The sequence below is a fragment of the Homo sapiens genome, chromosome 8 (genome assembly GCF_000001405.40).
Source record: "Homo sapiens chromosome 8, GRCh38.p14 Primary Assembly".
Classification (NCBI taxonomy): Eukaryota; Metazoa; Chordata; class Mammalia; order Primates; family Hominidae; genus Homo; species Homo sapiens.
Genome location: NC_000008.11, coordinates 10,859,040 through 10,882,658, shown reverse-complemented (window position 1 = coordinate 10,882,658; position 23,619 = coordinate 10,859,040). Strand labels below are relative to the sequence as shown.

The 23,619-nt window shown below is 43.5% G+C and overlaps 1 long non-coding RNA gene across 1 annotated transcript in view, besides 1 other annotated feature; it reads left to right on the top strand.

The window, feature by feature from the left end:
- Positions 1 to 23,619, top strand: part of LOC112268022 (uncharacterized) — a 26,576-nt gene continuing 2,957 nt past the window's right edge. The window contains exon 1 of the long non-coding RNA XR_002956694.2: positions 1 to 23,497. This is a non-coding gene — a long non-coding RNA (uncharacterized LOC112268022). The remainder of the gene's footprint in view (positions 23,498 to 23,619) is intronic.
- Positions 5,600 to 5,649: an enhancer, noted in NCBI's record as "active region_26997". NCBI's record gives its function as "activates an Ori minimal core promoter by ATAC-STARR-seq in GM12878 lymphoblastoid cells {active_cell/tissue: GM12878}" and the evidence as "EXISTENCE:reporter gene assay evidence [ECO:0000049][PMID:35858748]".

Genomic DNA, 23,619 nt, shown 5'->3' with positions numbered 1-23,619 from the left:
CTGTTTTAGGAGAGCTGGGTTTTCAGTGTCTGAGACCCCTTATTTTTAAAAGAAAAAAAAAAGAAACTGTTTTTTCTTTTCTATTAGCCAAAAAGAAAATCGCATTAAAAAGAACAATGTCATGCTCTTTCTTCCCTCTCTCCCTGCTGAGTTGGAAGGGACAGATGCACATGGGCTGGGAGCTTTTGAATCAATTGCTCAAAAGACTTTTCTGTTCCCCCACCGTGGCGAGGTCAGGGCAGTGACAACAAACAATTTAACTTCTCGAACCTTGTGGTGCCTTTTCTCGTGGTGCTTCTCTGTTGTGTAACTCCACTCAAGGCGACCACTTGCAGCAAACAGCAACGCCAGCAAATGGTATTCTGTGCCAGTGCAGTAACAGACTTTAATGTATAAATATATACTTAGATATAGATATATCACCATAGTTATATAACTATATAATTGAGGTTCTGATGCAGCTTTGGTGGGAGTTGATCATTCCTCTACAAAAATATATACTACTCAACTGGAACTAATGGCTCTCTTGAGGGTACTGACATTTGGGAAAGGCACAACAGATGAGATGGGTTACTCTCCTGTGACAAGTTTTCTTCTTCCTTCTTGTGAAAGTTGCTGTCTCCGTAACACAGAATATTTGATAAGGGAGCAAAGTGCAGCTTCTTTTGAACTTCCTTTGGTGCTGATATATATTTCTTTTAATTCTTTGTTTGTTTTGCTTCCCCATTAGTGGCCAATAAGCTGCTTTCCCCAAAATCTTGACTCACCTATCAAAGGTGGCAGGGGACAGTTTGGGAATAAGAGGCTGGAAGTTGGGCATCCCTCACTTCGTGTCCTGACTCAGTTTCCCCTGTGACCTGCATACGTCCCACACATGGGTTCTCCATCTACAATGAGTATCATAATATTTACCTCATGGGGAAGAGTAACTTAAAAGGATTAACTGATGATACTGAATCACTAGATCATTATTAATTTGGAGACAGCAACTTGACATGTTAAGATTTTGTTTATATGTTGCTAAGACTTAAATCTTGGGGTTTTGTTTTGTTCGCCTCTTGTTTCTCCATCTCTGCTATGTTTTCTGTCCTGCCTTTGGCAATACCTTAAATATTCTGTAACTGATGGAGATTCACCTAGGGCGTTGGGTAGTGCTAATTTCTCCCAAGGGAACAACATCACTAATACTGTATAAGGTGCTAGAATCAAACCTCATTTTATATACTTTGGTTCTTAGAGAAAAACAAAACATGCAGAATTATTTCTGTGAAGCCTTACTATAGATTGCTATAGCCAATTGTTTATCCAAAAAGTGAGACAGAGAGAATAGAAAATGAAGATAAGATGCAGAGATTCTGTATAAAGTGTAACAAAAAGACCTTTGCTATTTCTTATATTAAGGTAAACTATCATATATATATATTTATATACATATATATATATATGTTTGAGGCAGATAGAATGGAAAAACGTACAGTGTGGTCATCTTTATTTTGTCAGTTAATTCACAACTTTTAGTATGTGTGCAAGAGAGGTTTAGAGTGGGGATGGGATAAGGGATGCCCAGTGTGATATGGGAAATCATTCATCTTTCTGTTCTGTTCCACATGTTAGTAGAAGGAGTAGGCTGAATGAGAGGAAAGGGGAATAAATCAAGACATAGATGTGCTTTTTAAATGTTCTGAGCATTGATGTTATGCTTTTGTGTTGTTTCTTCTTTATTCCAAGGTTTCTCTACAGTGCTGTAAAAATGTCCCCTGCCTAGGGCGCTAACCAATAACGTTTACCTCAAGAAAGCTTAAAAAAAAAAGAGGCAGTTTTTTTCCCATCTCTTAAAAAATAGTGTCCCTCTAACCAAAAGGTGAGGCATTTCCGCAGAAGTTCAGCAAGAGAAGAGAACCATTTCTGAGGCTTTCCTTCATGTCCCCATCCTTTTCTACCGCACCCCACCCCCTTTAGTTACTAATGAAAGAATCCAAGAGATTAGTTTTGACCAGAAGTGGGTTAGGATGTGATTAAAGTGTATTATTGGTGAATATAAACTTTGCCAGAACTAGCGGTGTGGGGTCCTTTCAAAGGATGGCTGTGTACTTCAGATGTTTCATGCTAGCATGTGTGTGTGTGTGTGTGTGTGTGTGTGTGTGTGTGTACTGTATATATGTTCCAGTGTGTGAAATGTCTGGTGGACAGAGAACAAAATACCGCAAGCAGACATGAACAGGAAAAGATATATATCAAATGCTATTTTATCAGATGATGCACTTGTTCACCTTGATGAGAAGCCACTGTTTCACAACTATGCAATCTTCCAGTTTTTCTCCCCACCCGTTCACCTTAGATTTCCAAACTGTTTTCCATAATCCTCACAGATTTTTTCCTTTGTACAAGAAACACAATATCCAATCCCTGGTTCAAGGTGAGCATGCTACAGTGATTCTTTTCCTAAATTTAAGAGCTAAAGAAAAAAGAATTTTCCTTTTCTTTAATTGGAAATGATTCAGTGTAACCTCGTTTGGTTCTGTAAGTGAACTGATGTGTATTTTCTGTTTCAGTTACATGTTTACAACTTGTTTTCATCCTCTTCTTGGTTCAAAATATTTATTTTCTTTACAGATTCTACTTTTTATATATGTTTTGGGGATGTGTTAACTTAAGGCAAGAAGAAAAATTTGGCTTAAGTGGAAAAATGAGCATGTGACCTCTGGGGCCGGGGGTGGGGAGATCATGTGTACCTGCAGCTGAATTAGTACTTACATCATGGTCCTGAGTCAAGACCATGGCAGGGAATCTGGTGGACTCTGGGGAGGACCTGACCTGGGTGTTTTTCTTTCCTTATTTGTGGTCATCTCTATGGAGTAACCTATACCCAGAGGATGGACTAGTATTTTCTGCCTTAGCTTTAGGCCAACTGTGCCCTTCCTAGCTACTCCACCCAGTGCCAAATCCCATGTCCCTTCTGTTGCACCACGGACTCCTAATACCTCTCCTCCCCTGCCAGCCACTGATGGCAACTTGCCCAAGTGGGGTTAATGCATCTGCTTTCATTTCGAAAGTTAGATATAAAGGGAATCTTTGAGAGCCCAGTGTCAAAAGTGCTCAGGAAATTGGCCCTAGACTGTGTGCCATTTGGAAACATTTTGAAACATACTCATAGCTGCAGTGAGGGCAGCGGGTTCTAGCACATTTACAAACTACCATCAAGCCAGTTCGGCTGAGCAAGACTTTGAGAGGTTTTTAAAAAATAGTTGAGAGAAAGATGATAGGTCACATGGTTACACAAAGCACAAACTTGGCAGGGGAAGCCCTGTACGCAGAAGGCAGCTTTGCAACTTCTCTGGTTGTCTGCACAAGTCTGAGTTTTGCACATGGTTTACAAGTCTTGCACAAGGTGGCCGAGCCATCCAAGACAATTTTTAAAAGAGAAATCCAGACACTGCCTAACTGCTCCAGCACAACATGCTTCCACTCGGCGGCAGGTGGGAGCTTAGATGAAATTCCTTTGGAGTGAAGAAGGAAGTCGGTCCTTTGATGAAGTGCATTGTCTCTAGTGGCCTCATTCCTTGCCTTCCCCAATCCTGCACATTCTCTTAGCTACTCAGGGGATCTGAACAAAGAGGTATTCATTTACTTTTGTCTTGTTCCATAGATCACATCTGCTGAGAACCATCCTGGGAATTTCTCACCCATTCTTTGGTCTTCTTTCTTATATATAATAGGAATAAAGGGTTCCTCTTCTCCTTGAAGTGAGTAGTTTGGAGACTTTCAGAGCTGTCCTGGGACCTGGCCCTGCATAACCAGACCCCAAGAAGCTTCCCCAAAGCTGACTTGTCTTTAAGGCTCAGAAAGTCTACAGGGGATCTGTTCCAGGACACCATGAAATTTCCCAACTCCTGGCCCTCTCTAAAAATCAGCTGTACATTTGGAGGAGTCTCTTGCAGGTTGCCAAGGTCTGGACCTGTGACCCCAGTCCCCTCTAGCCTGCCCCATTGGCACTCAGGCCTCTGGGTCTTCACTCACCTTGGGCAGAATGAAGAGTGGCCAAAGGTTGAAAGTGGTGGAGATCCCTCACTCCTTGCTTGCCCAGGGCCAAATCAGAGTGTCCAATACCCATTTGGGGGCTGTGACAACCTGCCGTTCTGGGAAGGGTCATGCCCACCTCTGCAGTCTGTGGCATTGTTGAGTTTCTGCCCAAATCTAGACCCAGGAAACCTGCCTGTTCGGAAGCCTGACAATTCATTCCCAGTGTAAACAGAGCCTTTGCTGGAAAAATCTTCCCTATCAGAGTGGATGAGTCCGACCCTGTGCTATGTGGGCTCTTGCCATCCACTGGACCCTGAGATCCTGAGTGGCCCATGGATGTACAGTCCTGAATGCCAGGCCAGAGAGGTCAGGGGCGGCCAAGAGCCCTGCAGGGCTGGCTGCTTCTGAAGAAGGAATCTGGTCAGAGATGTTGTGCTTCCCCTGATGGGAGTAGGAGACAGTTCCTTAGAGGAAAGAAGCATTTAGAATTACTGGGGTCTCAGGAATGTCACGTGTCAGAACCAGTCCAGTGTGGTCTGAGCGGGTGACATCAGTGATGCAGAGCAGAGCCCTTCTGGGGAGGATGAGAGGACCCAGATACTGCTCACAGTAACCAAGGGCCACAGATGTGTCAGGCTCTGTGCCCAATGCCTCCATACAAATCATCTCCTCTAAATCCTGAGGATCACCTGGTGAGGTGAGAAATCCCCCCTTTTACAAATGGGGAAACTGAGGCTCAGGGAGTCCTCACATTTGCACAGGGTCCCATGGTCAGTCAGGGGTTCAGCTGGGGGCAGACCTCAGTATCTCGGTTCGGCTTCATCCCTAGTGATCCTGCTCCTCTTCCAGGTGGACTCCACCTCATCCCCCTCCTCATGGCTCACAAACACCAGGGAGCTCACAGTGCCTGGTGTGGAATGTTTGGGACTAAATCCAGGAAGCCTGAGCATTGTTGTTTGCATTCAGTTGGCCCAAGAAACTAGGATAAGAGTGGGGAAAATTCAGGGACGATTAATGAAATACAGCGTCACATGGAAAATGATGCCTGCTTTCCAGAGGTCACCCTGAGCCCTACCCCTTCAGTTATGTTCTGGAGGAGATCCGTGGAACTGGAGCCCTCCCAGGTGCACTTTGAGTTGTCTGTTTGGGTTGTCCTGAGAACTTTAGTGTCTCCTATCTGTCTTGTTTTGTTTTTGTTCTCCATGACCTTGAGAGATGACTTTCAGATAAATGGATTATTTTCCTAAGGATATAGGGGGGATGAGAAGTCGGAGTTAGAACAAATTAAGAAATTTAAGCTTCACGGGGTCAGTTCTGAGGCAGTTTTTGCAGACAGTGACTGTGACTCAGCAGCGAGAAGGAGCAGTCCCGGAAGGACCCTGTGCTGGGCTAGGGAGAAGGCAGGCTGAGGTTGGGGGTGACCATGCCAGGGCCTGGGAACTGGCATCTGCTCCTGTCCTCACTGCTCTTGGGCTGGCCGTCGCCTTCCATGAGCCCCAATGTCCCAATCTCTAAAATGCAGGCATAAACTTGGTAACCTCTGTGATTGATCCAAGCCAGAAAGGTATGAAAAAAGTGAGCCAGGCAAATACATTTGATAAAGTGTCTTGAATGATGAATAGATACCTTCAGATTTGGGAACAGAAACCACTCTAGGACCCTAAGTCAACAAATGCAAATACCAACATCAAACTAGCAGGCTGAAGACGGTGATTTTCACTTCCATGTGAACCGGTTAAAAACAATAGAAATGAGAGAAGAGGCCGGGTGCAGTGGCTCACGCCTGTAATCCCAGCACTTTGGGATGCCAAGGCGGGAGGATCACCTGAGGTCAGAAGTTTGAGACCAGCCTGGTCAACATGGTGAAACCCTGTCTCTACTAAAAATACAAAAATTATCCAGGTGTGGTTACACCCACCTGTAATCCCAGCTACTCGGGAAGCTGAGGCAGGAGAATCGCTTGAACCTGGGAGGTGGAGGTTGCAGTGAGCAGAGATCGCACCACTGCACTCCAGCCTGGGTGACAGAGCAAGACTCCATCTCAAAAACAAAAACAAAAGAGAGAAATGAGAGAAGAGCATAAGGGAGAGGGTGATGGGGAGAAGAGCAGAAATGGACAGGAAGAAAGAGATTAGAGAGATTGGTGCGAGGGGAATGATAAGACTGCCATGTTCTTCCTCCACCAGCAGTCTCGTGTTTTATGTTTGTTTACAACAATTACATCAGCTTAATGGCTACCGAGCACCCTCTGAGTGAGGACATGCACACACACACACACACACACACACACACACACACACACACACAAGTTATTCTAATCCTGCCAATGTCCAGTGGTTACCCATGGGGAAAATCCCTCAGTCCTTGAGCATAGCTGGGGCTTCTTCAGAGCACAAGGAACAGTGGAATCTCAGAGTTTGAAGGAGACTCAGACACCACCTAATTTTTGCTCATCCACGCAGTCACTGACAAAAGGCTATCATACTTATTGTCACAGGCCTCCAAGGACAGAAGCTCCTTGCCTCCATTCATGATTGAGTACCACGTAATTGGATAGTCTTCCCTTAGAAGTGGCCTACTGCTCCCTGTTGTGATCCAGACTGGTTTCTTTTGCTTTGGGCTTCCAAGGGGACAAAGCCCCTGCCTCTGGATGAATGATCTCTGGGACACTTGGAAGTGCCCTTGGCCTTGTCTTGCCCAGAAACTTCCGAAGGCAAGAGTAGAAATTGTACCTCACCTTGTCTTTGCATCCTGAAGTTCAATGCTTAAGACAGACAGCAATCCTCCCACCAACCTCACAGCCCATCCACGCTGGAAGCAGCTGCTCATCTTTATTGTGTCCTGTTATTATACAGACTCAGATGAACTGTTTCTCATTCCTTTCCATTCATCAGGTCCAATGTTTTATGTTCAAAATTCAAATGTAAGTCTTCACTTGAAATGGATCGAGGAAGGCAGGAGGAGGCCCCTGGGTATTGCCTCCAAGGGGAATATGTATTTATAGGGTCTTCAAAGCCCTCAGAGCACTGCTGATACCATCCCCTCTTCCCCAAACCAATCCTCTTTTTGCATTTCCCAAAAACCCAATTCAACCTGGATCATGGCCTCCATGCAGCAGGAGCTCTGCTCGACATTGGGAAGACAAAGAGGAAAGACCGTCTCTTAAGGCACTCACAGTCCAGCAGGGAGACAAAGCACAAACCTATGGGCACTACAATCCGGCTTCTGGGAGGACAGGGTGGTTCTGCCCGGCAGAGCTGACTTAATGCCTCCCAAAGTTCACACGGCTTCTCATCAAGGGCCTCTCTCATCAGTTCCCTCTCCCAACCTACCATCATCCCCAAATGAACCAGGCATTACACTAGGACCCCCTCAGTCTTCCCCCTAACCTGGGCTGCAACTGTTCCCAGCTATTTCTCAACAGAGCAAATCCTGCCAAAAGTAGGATCATGTCCAGAGTAAAAATAACCACTAAACAATCCAATGAGCTTGATTCAGTTCAGCATTTAGCCCAACAGATGCCTCTGAGCCCTGTATCTTCCACATTTTCTCTAGAGTCTCTAGAGCCTTCTAGCCACGTCCAACAAACCCAAAAGTTACTGCTTGGTTTTCTTGCCCAAGTCCCTTAGGTCTCTTTTGGCCGCCTGTACTGATCTGAGCTGACCCTTCTTTGGTTGGTGGTTTCATGGCTCTGTTCTCCAAGTCACTGCCTCAGCAAACCAATGTCCATGTCTGCTTTCTTCTTACCCCATCTTCCTTCCATCCAGGACAGAAATATGAGGACAAAGAGGTCTCTGCAGTAGCTATCACTGCCTGACAGAGCATTTTATAGTAAAATTGCATTCACAGTTAAGATCAAGGCTGATGGAAGCCTTCTTGGTGGCCTGTTGAGCTCTCCATTGGAAGAGTTGTTCTTGGAAATGAGAAGGAGAAAGGGACCATCTCAATGTCCCCATCTGGTAGATCTTGCTTCAACCACTATGAGTGCAGATGACCCAAGAGAGGAAAAGCTGGGCCAGATCCATTACAGCTAAATTGATTTCCAGCCAGCAGGTGCCAAGGGCGCTCAAAGTGGTCCCTGACACAGTGGCTGTAGAATTGAGTTCTAACTCTAGGGAAGATGAAGAAACCCTGACTCCCTTACTATCGATGTTGGGCTGCTGAGCTCACAAGGTGCTCCAACCCCACCTGGCAAGAATACATAGAACAACCCTATGGGATGGGTTACTCCTATTTAGATAAATTAAAATTACTTCTTTTTTTCCTGGGCACAAAAAGCAAAAACAAAGACTTTCTTAATTTCACCAGGGTTTGCAATTGAACACATCTGATTCCCTGACTTAAAGAAATATATATGTATATTTTTCATTTTTGAGCAGGTATTTTTTTAATGGGGCTTATTTTTGGATTTGAGATCACTGGGCTTCTTGCCTTGTGAATCAATGCTTGCTGCTGTATTGCAAATGCATACATTGGTGACCGCAGTATTAAGCCAAATTTAAAATCTTAGTCTCCTCCATCTGTAAGTGTTATGTATCTACCTCATTATGATTTTTTTGGTTTCCTGTGCTTTCGTGTTGTGTACAATGTCAGAGGTGAAATGTAGATAAAAATATATATATATATAAATATATATTTTTTGCTTTGCAATAAAGTTCAAAGCTATAACACAGACTATTCCTGAAATATCATAGCCTTTTATTGTGCTCTATCTCCTTAGTTGTGAATTGTCTCGGGAAACTTTTTGCCTATTCACGAGAGTCAATATTGTTGTGTTTGTCATTTGATGAATTATTCTAATTATTTTAACTGTACTTTTTTGACACATTGAATAAGACACTAGGATTCTTGAACAACTCTTGGTTTCAAAGGTGCTTCATTTCTGTGGACTCAAGTGATCAAATGGAAGGGAAGTATCTCTGCAGACTTGAATCTTTCAGAAAAAATTATGGATCTCAATGCCATTGGGCTTTGGGTTTAGAACAAAAGGTTCGTGCGTAGGGGGAAAAAGGAAACATTGGTTTGGCTTTGACTTCTTGACGCTTTTGGTATTTATTGATGTCCAACCTTATTTCTTTTTAAAATTTCAATTTCTTGGCATGAAATTCGGTATTCATTGACTCCCTGGCATTCTTGTGTGATGTGGCTGCTTTTGACTTTTTGACTCCGCCATTTTCCCTAGGTTGATTTTATGTGTTGTGCTATTTGGTGGTGAACTATCCTGTGCCCAGCCCCCACCTCTTCTCTAAACGTTCTGGAACTCTGTTTCATACCACATGTTAAGAGGAACGGTGATTTGGAAACTTTTGTAGTCTACAAGCCAGCGATGCCATAAAGACTCAAGGTTTTCACAAGAATCTTGACCAGTTACAGTACAGATTCAAGGGATTGTGAATAGAAGGTGGATTGTTTGCAATGGATTCCCTTTATTTATGTGCTTGAACAGAATTGCTATCCTTTAGCTAAGCACATGTAGGTTGCGAACCCTAAATAATTTGTATGGTCCAACCACCCTTGTTTTTCTGTGTCTTTGGCCAAAATCTAAGGCTTTTCTTAAATTCCTTCAATATATTTTAAATGGTATAAAGAAAAGTCTATAAGTTAGAATAAAAGATCCTTAAAAATGATACTTCAACAAAACCCTTTAAGTATTTTATTATTCCCCAGTTCTAGGGCGCTACGGAAAAGTGATCATTGAAAGGGGGAATTATTTCCACAAATGGTGACATTGCCCATAAAATACATGCAATGCTATAGAAAAATGAATATTTCATAATATGTTTGTTTTTCTTTTTTGATTATCATAAATAATTGCTGGTATGTATTAGTAATGGACATTTTAACTTGTATTTGGGGAGGTTTGCTTTCTTTTTTAATGATGCTGAGTAAGCATTTAAAACAACCTGGCTAGGTTAGACTTTGCCTGTTCTTGACTATTTCTCTCTTTTTATGATATAAAGGTCTGTCTACGAATTGAAATGCAGATAAAACATGTACTGAAGGTAGAACACACTGATGTTGATTTGAAGGGAAAAATATAATGATAAATATATATATTTATATATATACACACACATAAGTAGGTGAGTGGGAATATATGATATATTCACACACAGGCAAACACACACGTGGGCACAATGACAGTATGCTTCCAAAGTTGGTTTTCTGATTCTGAGGAATTTGCCACCTCACTGAGCTTCCCAAGATTCCAAAATTTCCTTTGAAATAATTACATGTTTAAGAAAGAAATGTTTTGCTTGTTTTCTGTAGGTACTAGAAAACACAATTCTTATGATTCCCTATTCTTTCATATCCATTGTGACATATCCATTGTGCACTCAGAGGAGCCTGTTTTTAGGGAGACTTTGGGAGGATCCTTTCTTGTATTACCACCTTTCACCCCACCCAATGCCTTGAGAAAATTAGCTGCAGAGCCACCTACACCTGCTCATCTTGACTCTTGTCTTTCTGTTCATCTCAGTTCCCCAGTTTTTCCACAGGGGAGGCCTTGTTTCCTGGAGACCCTTCTGAAGTTTGAATACTGGAGTGAACTCTCTTTCCATGCTGGTTCTGGGCCCTCTCCACACCTGGTGCCGCCCTCCCTGGAATCCCAGCCCCATTGCTCCCCAGGGCACAGATAACGGGAATTTCAGAGTTAGTAGAAGGAATTTTTTGCTGCATCTGTGATCGAGGCATTTTAGATATACATGTTGGTAGCCCTAAGCATGAGGTTTAATCTATTTCTTATAGAGGAAGGGTTCACAATGGACCAAACTCTAAGGGTAACCCAAGGAGATGGCATAACAGGACTTCTGACCCAGACCAGCCAGTTTTGTTCTCATAGTGACCTTCTGCTCACTCATGAGCAAAACTCCCTTAGTTGATAGGGAATCCCTGATATGTCAGAGCCAGTATGGGAATAGGGAAAAAGAATTGAACTTCAATTCACTGTAAAAAGCATTTTCTTCTTTCCCTTTCCTTTTCTGTTTGTAGACCATATTTCTGCAGAGTGGGCTGGTCCTTGGGGCATGACCATTGTTGGGTTATTGTGGGGAGCTTTCTGCACTGCTGGGAGGAAGCTGTAGTTTTGTTTGCTTATTTTAAATCTCATCATTACACCTCTTTGTTGCCTGGAAAGGGAGAAGATGCTGTCCCCAGGATGTAATCATTCTAGATAGAGATGCTTTCAGTTCTGTTTATGGTTGCCAGTTGCTATTGAACTCCCAAGGAAATCTCCAGTTTGGAAACCATTTCTGACTGCCTATTTGGGTTCTTGGTTTTCTGCTTCTGGGCAAGAACAGCTTCTATGCTTTAGGAGCTTTGAAATCACTGGACCAGAGGAAGCAGATGTATTACAATGGGATGTGGCAGATTATGCAAGAATTTCTTTTACCCTAAACTCAAGGTGTTGTACAGCTCTGGTAGAGGATTTTTGACATTTCGTATGTTCTCAGGCCACTGGGTCTTCCCAGTGACCTTCCCTGCAAGGACAATGTGACAGATAATGAATCTATTTTACCCCAGTCGAGTTTCCTTGCCAGAACAGTATTCTCACTTCAAATTCAATTAATCATTTGATTATCAAATATTTATTGAACACTTACTCTACCAAGCAAAGGGCTAGTAACTTAGGGATATAAAGATGAAATAAACCTCAAGGCATGTAATACAAGATATGAGAAATGTACATTAAAAACCATACTGCAATGGAAAATGGAACCTAAGGAGAAGTGCAAGATGCTTTGGACATCCAGAACAGGAAGAGATACTTCCAAGTGAAGGTAGAAGGGAAGGCTTTGAAACGATGGCATTTGAGTTGAATTTTGAGGGATTCATAGCCTGCATGCAAATGAGTGAATCTGGCTGGCCATGCCCATAGTCATGATGAATCCTTCATTCGCTTACCATATTGATTTCTTTCTGATGAGAAAGCAACAGAATTTTCAGCAGCACATATTCAAGCCATGTGATGTCTTCCACTGTCTGTTAACATTCACCCAACCTTATTGAAAGAATAGCCCTTCAGCTGAAGCTAGGTTAAACCTTGGTTTCGAAATGTGATTCGGGGAATGGCTCTTCCTTGTGGATAACCACACTCCTTCTTCAAAGACTTCATGGACACCCCAAGAGTTGGACTTGCAGTTGCTCAGATGTACCCATGTGCATGCCTTGGCTCAAAGCTAAGCCCCTACAGCTTTGGTGTATCTAAAAACCACTCCTCTAGTCCTCCACATGTGGTGGAAGACAGGAGGAATGAGGCTTCAAGTGGTGATTTGCATGTCTCCATCTGCAAGGCACATCAGAAGAGTGGAAGCTGTCAGTGGACCACTTTACATGTGATTTCTGGAACCACTGAGTTTTTGAGGCCAAAGGGAAGGAACTTGAATGAAAAATGGAATTTCTTAAAGCCCAAAGCTGCCCAAGACACAGAAGATTCCAGTCTCTGATTCTTAATAGGGTTTTAGTTCAACCCTGGTCAGGCAAGCTTCTGGATATTTGAGGCCAGTGCAATCTCCTAGAATTGGTTGAGCCATGCAGAACTTGGCTGGCCCCAGGCCCTCACTGTAGCAGCCAAGGAGCTGGTTACTGTGGTCACAGCATTTCCTAATGAAGAATTGAGTCTTCAGGATGTGGGGTAAGTCCCAGTTTCTCCTATAGTTTGTGTAGTGGGTCCAGGTGTTTCCAGATACCATGAGAAAAGGAAGCCAAGACAGTTTTTTTTTTCCTGATCCTTTCCTCAATGGTCCCCAGTTCTCTCAGCACTACACACAGATTCTTCAACAGTTTGTGCACCTTGTTTCATCTTCTGAGACTTTAAGAACCACAGAAGCAAAACCATACAGACATTGAGACGAGAGATGCAAAGGCACAGAGAATTGAGACAAGCGGGAGGGCCTCCCCACAGACAGATCTGCTCCTGAAGCATTTAAAGTGTGGCCTGGCCTTTGACCTCAGATTTTCAGCATGTCTAAGTGGAAATGCAGGGGATGGCAGTTCTGAACCTTAGAACTTATTAATAGGACAAGCAGGCTTGGGATCCCAACTGGAACTCCCCAACTTCCTTCAGTCTTGTTCCTTATAATTATTCTCTCTTTAACTTCCATAAAATAACTCTACTGTTGCTGATCCATGGCCTGGAATCTTTTCATAATGGGTGGGATGGTGACCACCTGCATCCCTGGAGCTGATAGACAAACCATGTCAGCCAAGCATACATTCAGAAAAGTTGGACTTCTATTTTACACAAATCATTTTTAACTCCCAGCTTCAAGATATTAAATTTTAATCATTCCCTTTACCACCCACGATCTGGGGCTCTACCAAGCCTGACCACCATGCACCACAGGCTGACGGTGACCCCAGACTCTCACTGGACCCCATATTCCCCACACCCATGATGTCTGCTCAAGGGTGTGTTGCCCAAACCATCATTCATCTCAGATTTAACTCATATTTACTGAGCACTTGCTTCATGCCAATTTGCTAAGTGCTTTTCTATATATTTTCTTAGTTTATTTTACTTATTCCTTGTAATGACCTTTTTCAACTAGAGAAATATAACACATTAGTTTAATTTCCATGTGAGAAAAATGTGACCTAGGCACTTGAATGATTTGCTCAACTTGATTCAAAAGAAATAAAACCACGATGTGGGATCAAGTGTCTTGGCTGAAAGTCTTCTGGATTTTCCACCACACCTCTGCCTACACACTCCCTTGCTTGACTGATGGGACATTCTACCTTTCTTTTCTTCCTGCTGCCTCACTGAACTTTGAGAGGCCACCTCCCTGTGTGGTACATTTTATCTCAGCCTGCAGGAGCCAAGGCCGGTTTGACCTGTGTCTAAACAACCCATCTTGAGATGGCCCAAGAGCAGGGGCCCTTGAGGCATCAGCCTGAGACTGACATATGGAAAAGACATCTTTTTTTCCTCTGTTTCCAAAGATTTTTGCTGAAAATAATACATAAAATAGATCCTGTGAGAACCACTTTTAAAGCCAATTGGTGTTCTTCTGATCTTTCCCAGGAAGATCTTTTGGCAGAATCTCTCTATGTTGTAGAGAAGAAATCAGGGCATTGGGTGGCATCATTATATTTTGAAGCCCAAACTGCTCAAAAGGAACTGAACAGCAAATCTCTGCCTCTAGCTAAAATTGCTGCCTCCAACACCACTGACCTGAAGTACTGGGCTCTAGCTTGGCTTCAGGAAGCTTGCAAAGACCTCGGTGTTGCCCCATGTCAGCTGTCAAAACTGGCAGCCACCTCCCTGAGGTTAACGGAAGAGATTTCTTCCCTTGAGAACTAAGGTCTCAGTGAGATTCCTGGACTCACGCGCAGTCAATTCATTCTGTCCATTAGTCTTCTAACTTACGCACTCATTATTCATCTAGCAAAGATCCCAGACGTGTGACTAGACCCTGTCCATAAGTGATTCACAGTCTGGTAGGGAGCTAACCTCTGTACATCCAGGGCTGAAAAGTAAGATGAAATTAATGAATGCAGATAAAGCTCTCTCAAGTTCAAAGGAAAGGAAGGCATCTTAGCACCACCAAGCTCAAAGAAAGAGGAGATGACATGGGCATTAAGGACTGTTGAGCCTTCCTCATGAATGGCACATCCTGCGTTAAGGACATTAGGGAAGGTTATAAGGAAACAATTAAGATATATGCCCCCTTCTTTGCCTAAAAGTAACTCCCAGTGTGCACCAATATATTGGCTCCTTTGATAGCCATCATTAGAGGATGCTTCCTGCAATCATCTTCCTTCTTAATCAGTCACCAGGCGTACTTCTCAAACAGGAAAAAATGGCTTAACCACAGCAAGAAGAGACAAGGGGAGGGGAGAGTAAGGAAAAGATTCCTCTACTTTTGAGACGGATTGCTTTAGAAAGAAAGCAAAACGTAATCATGTTATCCTTGGTCTGGAAACTGAAGAAAGGGCCCCCTTACTGCGTCACCCCAAGGAAAGAAGAAGGACCTGAAACTCAACATCCCTATGCCTTTCTAGCTGTCATTCCTAGCCATTGTTTCTACATGTCCACAGACCCCATGCCTCCATCCTGAGCCTTTTGGACTTATAGAGTTTAGGTTAAGCAATATACTATGAATAGGCACATGGGTTACAGAGAACAAGAGAAAAGGATATTCTCTTAGGAAGAGCCAAGAGAGAAATGGGACACAACAGCATGACACAGCGGTCAACACAGGCCTTGGATCAGTTGACTAACCTTGAAAGGTTCCCTGTGAAATAAGAAGCTCCAGGTTAATACCACATTGCCCCTTTAGGCCAATAATGAATTCTGATCAATTCCACTTAAGAATCGTTCATTGTTTCTTTGTCACTGCTCTAACCTCATGGCAAATGCTGAGATATGTCTTGAGGTGATTTATCACAAGGGTTTCTGAATCATGATATATCACATTCATTGCATCCTTCACTTACCAGGCACCCATTTCCAAAATATTACATATTTATCTCCATTTTTAACACTACAGATTAGGTCAATGGTGAGTGCCTTTTTTTAAAAGTCCCTACTAATTAGCGGTGATGAGAAATAGTGTTGTTTATTTTTTAACCTTCAAGACGTAGCTATTGTTTCTTCCTCAATTTCCTAGTTCAGTTTGGCAAACTGGACCACTGAAAGTCCACTAGGCGTTTATCTAGTGATTTCTCTAAGCATGGCTGGGTGAGAGCAAGTTGAAAATGACGTCTGTCAGCAGAAATTCGAGAGTTAGGAAGCTATGCTGTTGCATCCCAGGACCACAGAGAACTGTCATCCAGCCCTACCTCCCCTCCAAGCAGGGTCACCCGTTTCTACATTCCATTGCAGCAGCTGGAGTCCTGGATTTGCCACTAACACACCCCACGTGCCCAAGCACAGTTTCATCTTCTGCAAAATGGTGACACTCCTTAAAGTTTCTTCCCATCCGAAAGTTCTGTTATCAATACCCACTCATCCAACAAATGGCAAGAAAATTTAGCTTCTCCTTAAATCCATGCTAATGTTTATGAGCATAAGAACCCAAGGAGATCCTCCTTACATAGAAGGCAAGCATCTAAATCAATTCAACTCTACTTTTATCTTGCATTAAAAGATGAAGCCAATACAAAAATTAGCTGGGTGTGGTGGTGCACGCCTGTAATCCCGGCTACTCAGGGGGCTGAGGCAGGAGAATCACTTGAACCCAGGAGGCAGAGGTTGGAGTGAGCTGAGATTGTGCCACTGCACTCCAGCCTGGGCGATAGAGCGAGACTCCATTTCAAAAAAAAAAAAATAAATAAAAAGATGAAGCCAACTGCTCACCCTAATAAATATACTCACAATATATATCTTGAAGGTTAAAAACAAAAACAAAAACCACATTGCTTCCTCTAATCCCCTTTTTGTTATTGATGTCAAGGAGTTGAAATGTACTGGGGTGCAGACCGGAGCATTAGCTTGTCAGGAGATGAGAATCAGCCATATGGGATATACAGAGATTATTGACCAAACAAAATAAAGCCAAGCAAAACACTGCAAATTCTCCTGTCCTTAGAACGCCACTTAGCAAACGACCGCCGCTCTAAGAAAATGCTTTGGGTATGGAAAAGTATCGAACTTTGAGGTTGTCCGGGGAAGGCTGTGATGCTTTTATCAGAGGTGAATAAGGTTTTCCAGCACAGTTCCTAAACGCCTGTGGGGCGCTTTCACATGCAGTATCTCATTTGATCTTCTCAACAACGCTGTGAGTAATAAAGTCACACCCAACATGCAAAAGAGAACACTAAAGTTCAGAGAGGTTAGCCCACCTGAGGTCACACTACTATAAAGGGGTTAGGGTCCAATTTCGAATCCCATGCTGCTGTCTGTGATGTCCAAAGCCCCTTCTTTTGAGAGTTGGAGGAGCAGCAGACCACCTACCTCCCCACCAAGGCCCTGGACTGACAATGCCTGTTCTCCACCATGCCTAGGAATCTCTTTCAGCCAGGGTGGCTCCCAACAAATGGTAAATAGAACCAGATGGTCCTAGGTACCAAGAGTAGGACATCATAGCCTTGTCCTGGGGCATTTTCGGGATTCTTTAAGCATATCTTTACCCTTAAAGCCACACTACACATCATCTCATTTCCTAATTTTATTCTGTCCACTTCCTTATGTAAATACATCTATGATCACAAATCCTCAAACATGGTTTCATCTACAAACTGCCAGGCCAGAGAAACACCATTTGGAAAGAGCTGATCTAGTAAAGCAGAGTTCTGGGGATTGATGTCAGAAGAACATCATGGTGTTTGCTAAGGCCATTCAGCCAAAGCAGCCTGCACCTCTTAAAAATCCTCCCTTTGAGGGAAGACCCATGGTCAGCGGCTCCTTAGTTGGCTTTGCAGAACCACTCCCTTAGGGGGGCTCAGAGCAATGAGCAGAGGGTACCACCTCTGAATCGCAGAGGACCAAGTGGTGGCTGTGTTTTGAGTCAGGGCTGGGTGAGGAGTACAGAGAAGGTTTCCAGGACAATTGCTTTACTATGATAGGTCATGGGTGGAAACTGAAGTCTGGGAAAGCTTAGTAAGAGATGGGATTCAGAAGGCAAGTAAGGTGGGATCTCCTCTGGCCCAAGAAATGAATAAGTGTGAGCACCTTACGCAAAAAGCAAAGGACAGGGGCACTGGTTCTGCCTGATTCTGTCACTCCTAAAACAAACCCCAATGTGCGTGCTGGAGGAGGCCATGTGCTGGACTGATCACAGCTGTCCACTTCTACCCATGAGAGTAGGAACCAGACTGGTGTGGACGCTGGTGGACACTGAGCCTGTAGGGTCAGGGGGATCATTTTTTCCTTATTGAGGAGTGTGGCAAAATGTTTAGAGGAAGTCCAAATTTCCTGCTATGGCCAGATTTTAACCAAATGATCGAGTGCTTCCTGAGCTCACACTAACATCTCACACTCTATTTCAAAGTAAGAAAAACTTCCTAATGTGGCAGAGGAATTTGCATTTCTTCCCTTTCTTGGGCCACGGGTGTGAGTAAAGGGTTCTCTTACCTGAATGCAGGTCACTAGTAGGAGGTAGGTGGATCAAACCACAGGCTACATCCCAGGGGAGACAAGAGAGAGTGCTGCCCACACCCTACACAGGGCTGGCCAGTCCCACTCCCCTACTGCCTCAACAGCAGCCTCTTTCTGTCTAAAACTGCCTCTCCAACTCACTTAACCTAGGAAGAGTTGCCCTGTGCAATTAGGAGGGACTTAGACTGGGGTAGAAGGGGCCAATCCAAATGGCTCAAAGAGCTGCTATCTTGGGTTTAGGCCCCAGGATAAGGCTAGAGAGGGGCCACATGAGGAAGGCCAAAGACCAACAGGGATGATGTGTGGCTTCCGTGGGCTTCTAGCTTGCGGTCCGTGCCAAAGGGCCATCATCCACCCTCGTCTTGGGCATGCAGGATTCCTGGAGGCATTCTGATGCATCCTGCCTTTCTCAACCTGTCCCAGACTAGTTCTTGCTACAAATTTCAGAAGAGGATTCTCCCTCAGTCTCCCTTGCCTCTCCTCCTGTCCTTTAGCATGAATGTGAAGACCATTGCCTGATTACTTCCTTTAGCCTCTCGCTGTCTGCCAGACACTTGCCCAAAGGTGAGGCTCTCGGTGAACAGCAACTCTTGTTCCCAGATGGCCTTTTGCGTTCTTGACTTTCCCTTTCTTCCCTTGCTGACCGTGAGACTCTGAGGCACAATGGCCTTGACAAGGGTCCCTCGTTTATCAGCTGAAGGCTCCTCCCCAGCCTGGCCTCCCAGCTCTCATTTTATTCCATTTTTCTTTCCTCGGGGTGACCCCATTATGTTTTCCTTTCATTCCATGGGGTGCTGCCTCTTCCTCTCGCAACAGCCTGGGATGGTGTGGGTGACTGGTGTTGAAGCACAAAGCAACATTGCCAAAGAGGATTATGGTAGGAAAAAATAATAATAATAAGTATAATGGGAAAAGCTCAGTGATGTGGGAAACTCCCTTCAGATCCTCCACTGGTCAGCCCCGGTTTTCCAGTCCTTTTCTTCTGAAATTTTAATACCATCTATTTGCTATGATTGTTTTTAATGGAAGAAGAACATCATGCTAATGAGTTGTGCAAAGGACATCATTCTTTTGTTACTATAATTTAAAGGGGTAAAGACTACAATGAACCGTGTTTATGTTCAGATATCCATTTGTTGTGCTGGGTTGATTTCAGACTGGTGCATTCTCACTTATCAGGGACCTCTGATTCTAGCAGAACAAAATCAGCTATTTACTCTAGTTACTGTAAGCAGACACATAACTTTTACTGTAATTTGAAAAACCTTGCACTGTAATGGTTTAAAAAAAAAAGCAAATCTTATTGAAACTGATTTTGTATTTTTGATTACATCTGAATTTTCACATTTTTGTATCTAACCGTGACCACGGTAGCGCTTCCATAGCTTGTGTTCAAGGTCTCGTTTTCTTTCCAGATTGAATTCCTAAGATTGTGTTGATGCCAGATGTTTAAGGGGCAGGACTGGGGCCTGGCTAGCAGAACCTGTCATGGGGGTTGTGTCTTTGGCCAGATCATGAGCTGGCAACAGGAAATCTTGCCTAGATGGAGCAAGCTGTTGTTGCGTTTCATTGCGTGAATTCCCACAGACAGTTCATATCTCCAACTAATTTAAGGCCAACAGTTTTTGGCCAAACCTTTGCCAAGGACTCTCTCAACTGAGCTGCCCCCCACCCCTGCATTACCCAGCTTCCTGGGTAAGGGAGGACATTTTTGAAAACAAAACTTGTGAAATTAATTTGTGCTTATGATTTTTTTCTTCTTGCTGGAAACATGCTGGGAAGCAGAGAGCATGATGTTATCGCTCTTTCTGCTTTTCCAAACCAATACACCTGTTGTACTCTTTTGTTTCTTAGTGAAGAAAATTCTAGACACAGACCTAAATATGAACTCTTTTCCTCCTGTATTTCAGATTAGCAATTCTCCCTATGTATTCCTAACTTGTTGAAGTGTTTTCCTTCTTAGCATTTCTTCTCACACTTTACTTTATTTTTTTTTACTGAACAACAACAACAAACCCACGAAGGAACAAATAATCTCTTTCTCTTTCTCTCTTTCTCTCTCTGATGTGTAATGTTGTGTTGTCCAGATTCTGTACAAAAATATGTATATGATGTATCTGATATTTGGCAGCCACTGGCTGTTACTTTAACCAATATAATTAACAAAATGCATAATGTTGGTGTTTGATTTTTTTTTTTACAAAACAAAAAAACAACCTAGTTAAGATGTTTGTGTATTTTTGCATGGTTAAAATGTACTTAGTGCATTGAGAAATGTCGTGGAGGCACTCAGTGAAAAGGCCGGTTTACTTTTTGATCTTAATGGTAATTGGTTGTTGACTAGACTAATCCCTATGATGTATGTCTTCTTTAAGTTAGCATATTTCTATTTATAACTTGTTTTAGTACTCAAGATTCAGCATAGCGTATCTATCTATCTCTATTGTATTTACTGTTCCTTAAAACCAGGTTGTGGAAGTTCACTTCGTCTGGCTCAAATGTCTCCATTGCCGATTTCTGTTGAAATGTGTTCCATTTAATTTGCTGTACAGTCCAGATCTGAAGCACCCCCAGGGCCCATGGACAAGGGCTGTCATCTCTCCTTCCGGAGGCCTATTCCTTTGAGCAGTACTGTGGTTTTTCCCTTGTCATGGAACATCTTTTTTTTTTTTTAACCTAGTTATATAAAGGAGGATAAAAGACAGGAAATTAAGCAGAAATATAAGAAGTATTTATATTTTATACAAATAGCGCATATAATATATTATAGAGTGATAGACAGGCCGACTTTAAATGTGAATTAAGCAAAAAGGCAATGAAAGATATTGAAGGACTCAGAGAGATCTTGGGTTTTCCTCCCAGGAGTGGCACCATTTCAATAGGAGAGCTGCAGAAAAATGGGCTGGCCTTCCTTGTGCCTCAGTTTCACTCTAGGTAAGATTAGGAAGGGCAGTGTTAGGTGAGAGAGGCATCTACATTTTCTTGGGCCTTCAGTGCATTTAAAGTAAAAGTGGATCTTCAACTGCTTAAGAGATTGGATCGCTGTATGTTTAGAGACAGTGCTCGCAGCATCCCCTCTCCCCCCTTGGACATCTGGACTTGCTCAGAGGAAATGCATGTCTTAAAAGGCGCAAACTATTCTGGTTCAAGATTACCCTGATTTTCTTCTTGCTGGGATCTCAAGTCATCTCTTCAGCCAGGTACTTCTGCACAGCTTTTGAAAGAAGGCAGATTTGGAAAGCAATATCTCTGGGAAATAGAGGTGAATCTCTGGCACAGGGTTCGTTTGTTCTCCCTAAAGGAGTCAGAATCATGGACTTCTTTTTTTCCCCTGGGCACACAGGACTTTGCCATTCTATATTTTTCCAACCCAGACTCAGAGAGACACATCTCCCCCACTCCCAATGCTAGGAACCAGCATACACAGAAGGTATTAGAAGCACCTAGACAGATTTTTCCAGAGTCTGTGTTTTGGCAGACATTTGCCTTTTGGCAGAATAGTGTACCTATCCACAGTGAGCCATTCCCCCCTCCGCAAATCTGGAGATACAGCCAGTCCTCTGAAGTCTTGGGCTTATTGGCTGTGCAGTGAAACGTTAATCCTGATGGCCAGCCAGGTGGAAACCAGGACTGTGGTGCCTCTGCCTCTCTGACTCTTCACAGTTAAGAGCTCAGAGTGCTTTACAAACATCTTGTTTCTCGTGGCCACTGCACACCTCCGTGATATGCCTGGCCATGGGCACTGATCATGTCACTGTCTGCTGCTGGTGGGCATCTTTCAAGATCTTTTGAAATTTTCATTAGGTTCTAATGCACTTTTTACTTTCCCTGAGTTGAGGTTGACCGCAAAAGGGCAGGATTCCACAAAGATGTGGCAGACACTACTGCTCTCCTGTTTGGCTCTTTCAGGGCAGAATCTAGATGGGGCATTGCGGACATGCTGACATTGGTCAGGAGTCCCAAGGAACTTGCTAGAAAATGTACTCACCATTCCCCAGGAACAAGGTTGGCCCTCTTTGGATGAAAGGCTGGCAGAGCCCTTCATGATCCTAGAATTCAGCCCCTACCTCATGTCTTTTCCAGACTGATATCAGTTCTCCAGGACCATAGACTACAAATGTCAGGAAGGTCTCAGAGCATGTGGAGTCCCATCTCCTCTCTGTACAGATGAGGAAACTGAAGCCCAGAGAGAGATGAAGTGATTTACCCAAAGAAACCCAGCTCAAAAGGAGCAGAGACCCCCTCAGACCCTGCTTCCTGATGCTCCTTTGTCCCCCTCCTTACTTATAACCAGCAGCTCAGAATCCTTTTAATTTGTGAAATTCAGATATCATTCCCAAACTCTCATGTTTGATAGAAGTCCCTAAGTTTCTTTTCCCAATGATTATGGTCAATGTGAACATCCCAACCCAGCCCCGTGTTAGCCAAGGGAAGAGGGTTTGGATTTAGGATGTGAAATGAGCTAATGTCTCATTAACCTATATTTTTGAGGGGTAAGGAAGAACAATGAAAATAAGGAACAGCAGAATCTAAACCTATAAACTGCCCTTACTAAATCTCCTGTGAGAACAGCTTTTTTCTAAAAAATCTCAGTGGTCCATCCATCCACCCAGTGACCCTACCTGTTGTTCAGCCATCCCAACTTTCCTGGACGTCTTCCATTCCAGAGGCATCTGATTTCTCCAGGAAGTCCCTTTTAGCAGAGCCCGTTTCAGGAAACCGTCAACTTTTTAATCCAAGCAGGTGTTCATAATGTTTGTTATGAATTCCTTTTATTGTACCTCTCTCTGCTTTTATCTCAATTGAGCCACCAGAAGCCAAAGCGTGTTTTCCTCATGCGAAATAGTAGACCAGGAACGTCTTGCGGTGTCATTCTTCTAAAAAATGGCTGTTGGCCTCCTGACCTCACCTTCCCCTTTATACGAGCCTGGAGGCACCTGGCTTAGCTGGTGCGTTTTCCTTTGGGAGGACTCTTTGAGGTTTGTCCCCCAAAGCTTACAAAGATATAGTCTAGAATGTGTTTTTATTTGAATTTTTGTGGTTTTATTTGAATTTTCAAAATAAACTCTGTAATTTGCTACTGAGGCCCTTGATTCTTTGTTATCCCTGAGAAGGGCCCAGTGAGTCCCTACTCCTTTCCCCAGCTTCCAGTTCCTAACAGTCTCTTTCTAATTAAATAGATCCTTTTTTTATTCCAATTAGATTATGGTGCTGTTTCTCAAAGAGACCAAGTCCCTGAGTTGAAGATCTTTAAAGGGCTTTATTCCTTTAAAAAGGTGCCATTCCAGCCCTTTCCAGCTCTCACCTCCCCACTCCCTTATAAGTGACACCGCCTTTCCCCACCAGGCCCTGACTCAGGCTCCAGAGAAGACTGACCATGACCCTGTGCCACGCCAGGGGCCCAGGCAGGACCTTTAGTGACCTTTCCTGGAGGTGGGTACTCTGTGAAGAGGTGAGCAGCTATAATAAGTGATTTGTCTTGCCAGAAGTTAGGGTGGGTTTGGGTTCTCCCTTTGAAACACGGGGGCTGAAGAGCACTCTCTGGTGTCTTTATG